General features: G+C 39.1%; 2 annotated features.

Moving 5' to 3' along the window:
- Positions 5,989-6,490: an enhancer, noted in NCBI's record as "H3K4me1 hESC enhancer chr4:93050287-93050788 (GRCh37/hg19 assembly coordinates)". NCBI's record gives its function as "activates a minimal SCP1, AML or CMV promoter by ChIP-STARR-seq in primed H9 embryonic stem cells {active_cell/tissue: H9 hESC(primed)}" and the evidence as "EXISTENCE:reporter gene assay evidence [ECO:0000049][PMID:30033119]".
- Positions 6,491-6,990: an enhancer, noted in NCBI's record as "H3K4me1 hESC enhancer chr4:93050789-93051288 (GRCh37/hg19 assembly coordinates)". NCBI's record gives its function as "activates a minimal SCP1, AML or CMV promoter by ChIP-STARR-seq in primed H9 embryonic stem cells {active_cell/tissue: H9 hESC(primed)}" and the evidence as "EXISTENCE:reporter gene assay evidence [ECO:0000049][PMID:30033119]".

Raw genomic sequence — 8,085 nt, forward strand, 5'->3', positions numbered from 1 at the left:
CCCAAAGTGCTGGAATTACAAGTGTGAATCACCACACAGGCAGGAGCCACTGCACCTGGCCACACAAAGCATGTTTAAGTGAGGTTCTCATTTGAGGCTTAGAGTTATCCAGCAATCTGGATACTAATTCCATTTAGCCTGACATTAAATTTCATAAATCTATTTTATTGATGAAAATGAATTATAATTGTAAATCAGCCTTAATACAGTAATACCATACATATCATACATCTTATGCCCATAAAGTGGTTTCATGGTGATAATTTAGGTGTGTTATTCTCAATTTGTTTGTAGCCCTGTATCAAATATCATTTCTTTTTATGCCATATTAATGTTCAGATCCCAATTTACTCAGCATTTTGAATGCAACAATATTTTAAGAAAAACATTGTGTATATTCTCTTTCCCCACCCGCTGCCCCCACCTCTACTTTTAAACTATGCATTAGCCCATTAAGCATTAAAAATATTTATTTGTCAAAGGGGAGATTAGGAGTTGTTAAAGAATGAAGGCATAGAGAAAGATGAGGTAATAGTTCACTTCTGGAATATGAAAACAGAAATTTGAAATAAGAAAACAGATTATTATCTTGACAAAGGAATGCCTAACAAAATTATTTTTCTTTTTTTTTTTTAGTTTGCCAAGGTCCGAGTCTAAAAGATAAGGTTTATTGAATTCCTCTATTAAAAACAACCCATTTTGCTTCTAATAGCAAATTAAGGAAACACACTGCTCAATGCTAGAGGCAGATAGCAAATATTATATAGGCAGTGATAATTACAGATATCTAACAGTGGTTACAGCACAGTCTCTGCTTATTCAGAGTAGACACTGGCCATTCCAGGCAGCCCTAGACTGTACTTGCTAAGTCAGAATTAATTCTTTTGTTTCTGGATGACAAGTAAATCCAATGGGTGTCAAAGAGAGGACTGGATGTTTGGGTGGCTTATGGGCTTTGGGAATATCACAGAAATGGCTATTTGTCAAACTGTATGGAAGTATTTCAATATTTTATCAACTGCTTGATCATACTGTTGCGTGCCATTTGAAGGGAAGAAATGTTATACATATTAAATAAATGAATAAGATAATCTACTGCTTTGATGAAAATAAAACATAGAAATGGCATGAGAGACTAATCATGAGCTTTAGATTTGAGTCTCTAAATTGGTGACATTTAAATTGAAATCTGGATGACAAGAAGGAAAGAACACTGCAAAACTGTTGGGAAGAACACTTTAGGGGATGTGGCCAGCAGGTATACTATGAAATTTTTTTGTTAATTTAAAAATTAAAATGAAAATCAGCATTAGAGCAGATATAGTCGTAAGTTCCTTACCACTTAGCAATTAATATGAAAAGAATATATAATGACAATGCTGGGGTAAAAGAAATGGAAAAAAGAACTGAAGCAGAAGGAAAGCTGTCAACATGGGAAAGCTTAGAGAATTATGGTTATAAGTATAACATACTATAGAAATTTGAAGTCAATCTAACTTCTCTATGATAGGTCATTAATTATAATTGTTTAAATTATATATATAATTTTAAATTTTTAAGAAAGCCTTTGATAGAAGAATTGTATGTGAATCAGATGCCTAATTTCCAAGGTGCCAAGTATGAGCCTTTTGACTCATGAGTGTGTTCAAGTATGAGGTTGTTAATGTAATTGCAAACCCTTGGTTCATAGTCTCTTGAATTCAGGCTCTTGACAATGAATCCTCTAACAAACCTGGGCTTGGCCATGCAGTCTGCTTTGGCCAAGCAAATACAATGCAACAAAGACTGTAAAAGTTTTTGCAGATTGGGACTTTCTTTTGCTGCTTTAATTCTGAGATCATCATGTGAAGAAATCCAGCTAGCCTGCTAAAGAATAAGGGGCCGCTTGGAGCAAAGAAGCTCTCTGAGACAACCAGATTAAGCAGCCAGCCTACCACAGGTTTTTCTGAGCCAGCCATGAAGAAAGAGAGAGAGAGAGTGAGTCTCCCTCTATCACCCAGGATGGAGTGCATTGGTGAGATCTCAGCTCACTGTAACCTCTGCCTCCCTGGTTCAAGCAATTATCCCACCTCAGCTTCCTGAGTAGCTGGCATTACAGGTGCCCACCACCACACCTAGCTAATTTTTGTATTTCTAGTAGAGATGGGTTTTTGCCACGTTGGCCAGGCTTGTCTCAAACTCCTGGTCTCAAGTGATCCAACCACCTCGACCTCCCAAAATGCTGGGATTACAAGCATGAGCCACCGTGTTCGTACCAGCGCTTGTTATTTCAAGTCACTAAGTTTTGTGTTGGTTTCTTGCACAGCAAAAGCTGACAGCTACATGGACAAAGGAGAAAAAAGTGTGAGTAGCAAGTATCTCATATAAAAATGAAGCAGATAGTGACAAAACAAAAAATCTCTAGAAGCCTGGATCCTGAGGTAGTAACTACATCACTAACAAGAAAAACTGCTGATACATATAATGCACTTCAATTATAATTCAAGAAAAATTATATAAGTAGTATAAGTTTTGTGCCAGGCATTGTGCTAGGTATAAAAATAAATGCCCCTTCTGTCAAGGAGCTCAGGGGTTAGGGATGAAACTCACACAGATGCAGGGGGTAGGGAGGGTGGTGAAGGCTTTACTGTTAATAAATTATTTCAACTTCATGTCAGTTTCCACAGACCAGGATCCACCAACTGTGGGTTTTTAAAAATTGTGAATTAAACCACATTTCTTTTTTCTCCTTTGAAAATAGTTCTTTGTCTCCCAAATTAATTATACTATTTTTAGCATATATGTAAATATTTGAAATGCTTACAAATTAGTCCTCTTCACAGAGTTTAGAAAAAGACAGCTTTTAGGAATGACTATGAGTGATTTTAGAGGCTAATGACTGAAAATATCGTACCCATGATTTACCAGGTATCTTTAACTCTCCTACTCCTTTTACCCTTTCTTACCTTCTACAATGGGAGACTGGCTAAAAGAATGAGTACATCTTCCTCATCTACTCTGTCCTCTCAAAGCGGACATTGGAACAGAATAAGAATGGCTGTAAACAACAACAACAACAAAAACAACCATTATAAGGAATATAAACTGGCAATCTTCTTCTTTGTAATATGGCTATATATATATATATATATATATATATATATATATATTTTACCATTTTCTTTCTCAAAAACAATAAACTACGATCCTTCCTGGTCATGGTATTCTCTACCCAAAAACACACACAGATTCTTCTTTGCAGTTCTACAAAGGCGTGTGAGGATATGGGGTCACTTAAAAGCACAAGTAGGAAACCAAAAAGTTACTGTTTTCCACAGATTTTTGACCTTTCTCTCCTGTAGTTGCAGCTACTCCAATGGTACCAGGAACCATTTAGAGTCCATAACAGCATTTCTTCCCCATTATCTGGCATTCCCATCTTATGCTCTAGATCACCTCCCCAAGTTATTGTTTGCAGATTGTTTACATTATTTAAGGTCTATTTTTTCAAAGGTCTTATTTATTTTATAAATGTAACACTAGGTTTTTATTTTGATGGATTAAATACACTGTAATAATTTGAGTTTCTCATGGAATTCAATCAGAAGAAATTAGGCTTGTCACTTGCTTTTCTATTTTTTTAGCTGTATTTCTCTGAAGGAATATAGGTGTTTTTGTCTTCTTTTTATCTTTATAGGCTTATAGCAATTCATGATCTGTTCCAAAAATTGGGTAAAAAATCAAAACTTAAGTAAAATATTAGGAAATGGAATATTTTTAAATATGCATACTTATAGGATGAAGACAAAATATACTGCTAAGAAGGACTAACTGCAGGCATAATTATAAATAAATGAATTTTAAATGTTCATCCCCTTTGTCCTATTTACCCTATCTCACTGGGTACTTCTCAGTTTCACAGGATCAGAATTATGCCCCCAATTTGCTTTGGGCTCCTCAGTGTGATGACTTATTGGATCCTATATTTTAATTTCATTATAAACATTAAAATTATTTCCATATAATTTTCCCACTAATTCCCATTTTTGCAGGATCATTTCATGAAAAATATGCATGAGGTAATTTGAGGCAAGACACAATTATTATTATCTATACTCTTCACTACTTTTCACCCAGTGCCTAACACTATACCCTGAATATATATGGCCACTAATAAACACTTGTTGAATAATCATCTGATTCTTTTTGCATTTTAAATTTCCTACTCCCAGAAACAAAAGAAAGTTATATAAATTCCTATGTGAAAAAGATTTTCAGTTGTAAGGAGCAAGGCTATTTACAATAGTTGCCCCAGCATACATGTCCAGAGGTCACTCTCCACACTGTGATCTATGGCTCCTCCATCTGTGGAGTCATCATGGTCAATCTGAAATTACTCTATTGCAGTTTAAAGTCCCTTAAACTTAAATTTGAAAAGTTCAAATATATGAAAGAATACTTATCTCACACCAGTGTAGGAAGAAAAGTAGGTCCTCACCAATGTCTGGGATTGAGAACTGGGAGTTCAGGGAGGGGCTTCAAGATGGCTGACTAGAGGCACCCATCACTCACCTCCTCCACAAGGAGACACAAAAATGGTGAGTAGATAATCACACATTGAATACAATGTCTATGAGAAAATACTGGAATTCATCAGGGAAGTGACAAGGAACTGTTGAGGCACTGAAGGAGAATAAAGCAAAGCAACCAGCCTTGCCAGAATTAGCTGAGAGCCAGGAAAAACTGCCCAGTCTGAGGAAACAGTAAGACCAGAATGTAGACCAGTGGACCACATTCCCATCATGGACTCCTGTGATCCTAGCCATGGGAGAGCCCCTCAGCCATTAAAGGCCCTAAGATTAGTATAGGAAGCTGCTTGGAGTTTTCCCAAGACATTGTGCTAGAGGGGGATTTTGTGCTGGGTCCCACACACTCTACCCCAAGACCCAAGCAGTTGTAGCACAGCACCAGTTTGAGTGCCCAGTTACTACCAGATGTCATCCTCCCATACAGTCCAACAGCCCCTACATCTCCACATTCCTAGAGCTCCACTTACATCCACTCACACCACCCAGAGGGCCTCAGCATCATGATGCTGGCTATTCTCAGTGGTGTGACTGAGTACCCAGCACCAGCCCATGAAGTGTCCTAAATCCCCTAAAAAGGATGGTGCAGCATTCCAGGGAGGCTGCCCTAGGGATAAAAGGTGCCAAAGCCTCCCCAGAATGTGAAAGCCACCTACCGAGGGCTGCTGCCACTGACAGCAGTATACCCCGCAGCAGCAGAGCCAGTGAGCACTTGCACCAGCACCTTCAGTGGGCCTGGGGATCACCCCACCCTCCCCACTGTTATAGAACCAACAGGTTTATATTCCCACTGTGCAGTAACAGACATATTACACTAAGACAGCAGAGTTGGTAGCAGAGAAAGAATGTAATGATCACAGGGCACTGAGTGAGAGGGCTGGGGGAGTCCCTCAAATCTGCCTCTCTAAGGAGTCCTAGGATAGAGTTTTTAAAGGGATTTTGGAGAGCAAGGGGCTGGAAAATTGGGTTGTTGATTGATTGGGACAAGGGGCATAAAGTCATCAGGATAGGAAAACTGCATTCTTTGGTGAGTCAGCTTATTATGGGGTCCCTCAGACCAGCTGAGCCAGTGAAGTCCTTTAGACCAGCTGATGTAATAGTTTCATTTGTACATACAACTTGAAGGAATGTCTCAAAGGGAAAACTTAACGCTTCATACTGTTCAAGTTGTTTTCTATGGGGAAATTAAGGGGAACTATAATCTTGTAACATGATCTACATGATTCTAGGAAAATAGGCACCAAGTAACTATGAGGAAGCAGGTCAGAGAGTAAGCTGATCTAATGATTAATATGAAATGAGCTGCAAGCTTGGTTTATTTTTGTTCCCCCTCCCTTCTTCCCTGATTAATTTCATAAAGTTCATAGGGGTGGTTTTGCCACCACAGCTTGTACCTGTATGCCCAATCATGGGACCTGACAATAGGCCCAGCTACCTGGCACCACCCTGCCAGAGCCCAGATATGCTGTCTGGGGGCCTAAGGATCATCCCACCCTCTCTGCCACTTCTGGCACATGCTTGAACTATAAAGGGCCTTAAAAACAAACCCAACCCACTTGCCACAATCACCCAAGCCTACTCTCTGGGGACTAGAAATTGCCCAACTCTTGCCCATCACAGCCTGACCCATGCAAAGCATTGGGGGGCCTAAAGACAAACTCACCTTACTCAAAGCCACTCCTGCAAGGGCCAGCATGTTGTCCAGAGACCAGATGATCAATCTGTACTGCTCGTTGCCACCAGAACTCATGCACACCTTGCCGGAGCCTACACCACTCACCAGCACTGATGTCTGACATATGCACACACCTCCTGGGAGCATGAAGAAGGAACAGCTCAGCCTGCCACCACCACTGCCACCAGCACTCAGCCATACAAGGCATCTGGGGGCCTAAGGGTCTGGGGACTGGCCAGCCCAACCCACCACTGGCACTTGCACATGTTGCCTGAGGCCCAAGCGTTGGCCCATCACCACTACAGCTATTGCATGCTCACCACCCACGGGCTTAAAGAAAAGCCCACCTACCTGACCCATCACTGTCACTGCTGGCACCTGAGCAAGCTCCCTGGAAGCCCAAAGATAGACCTGCCTAGACCTAGGAACACCAGTGCCTGTGTACACCACTTGGGGTTCCAAGGATGGGCATGCTCAGCCTGTGGCTATCACCACCAGCCCACTTGGCAGTCCCATCCCCAACAAAACCTCCCCAGAGCCTCCATTAACAACTGCAGTCTGCCATCGAGGGACTCACAGACATCACTGACAATTTTCATAGCCCAAAATACCATATAGAGACTACACTAATGCATGCACTCAAAATCAAAGCTAAAGCACCCTACCCAACCAACACTAATGGTACCTCTAGAGGAAAAAGTCTTTTCCCACAAAAGCCTATCCAAAAAAGTGAAGGTTATACCCGATGTGCAAATACCAATGTAAGGACACACACACACACACACCACAAAAAAGCAAAGAAACATATTACCTCCAAATTAACATGATAGTTCTCCAGCAACAGATTTAAACAAAAAAGAAATCTATGTAATGCCTGAAAAAAGAATTCAAAATAATGATATTAAAAGAAGCTTAACAAGATACAAGAGAACATTGAAAAACAACACAAAGAAATCAGAAAAACAATATATGATCTGAATGAGAAATTCAACAAATTGGTAGACATCATGAAAAATGGCCAAATAGAAATCCTGGACTGAATGAAATAAAAAATACAACTGAGAGCTTAAAAAATAGAATAGATCAAGCAGAAGAATTTCTGAACTTAAAGACAAGTCTTTTGAAATAACTCACTCAGACAAAAAAAAAGAGAAAAAATGAAGAAAGCCTACATGACATATGGGACAACAATATAATGCAAGAAAATATTTGAATTTTGGGTTTTCCTGGAAGAGGATGGCAAAGGCATAGAAAACCTATTTAACAAAATGATTCCTGAAAATTCCCAAGTCTTGCAAGAGATACAGAAATTCATATACAGGAATCTCACAGAATTGTAAATATATTTAATCCAAAAAGATCTTCTCCAAGTAATATTATAGTCAAACTATCAAAAGTCCAAGAGAATTCTAAAAACATCAACAGAAAAACCGTCAAGTCAAATATAAAGAAAATCAGACAAACACCAGATTTCTCACAAAAACCTTACAGGCCAGGATAGAATGAGATAATATGTTTAAAATGCTGAAAGAAAAATTTTCAATCAAGAATGCAATACCCAGCAAAGTTTTCCTTCATAGGCAAAAGATAAATAAACTATTCCCCAGACAAGCAAAAGCAAAGGCAATTTATGACCACTAGAATGTTCCTACAAGAATTGCTTAAGGGAATTCTACACCTGGAAGTGAAAGGACAATATCCACCTTTATGAAAGCACATAATAATATAAAGCTCACAGGTAGAGCAGACACACAAATAGGAAGAAGAAAGAACTCAAATGTGAACACTACAGAAAACCATCAAATTGCAATTTGACAAATAATAAGAAGAAAGGAGGGAACAAAG

Source organism: Homo sapiens, chromosome 4 (genome assembly GCF_000001405.40).
Source record: "Homo sapiens chromosome 4, GRCh38.p14 Primary Assembly".
Classification (NCBI taxonomy): Eukaryota; Metazoa; Chordata; class Mammalia; order Primates; family Hominidae; genus Homo; species Homo sapiens.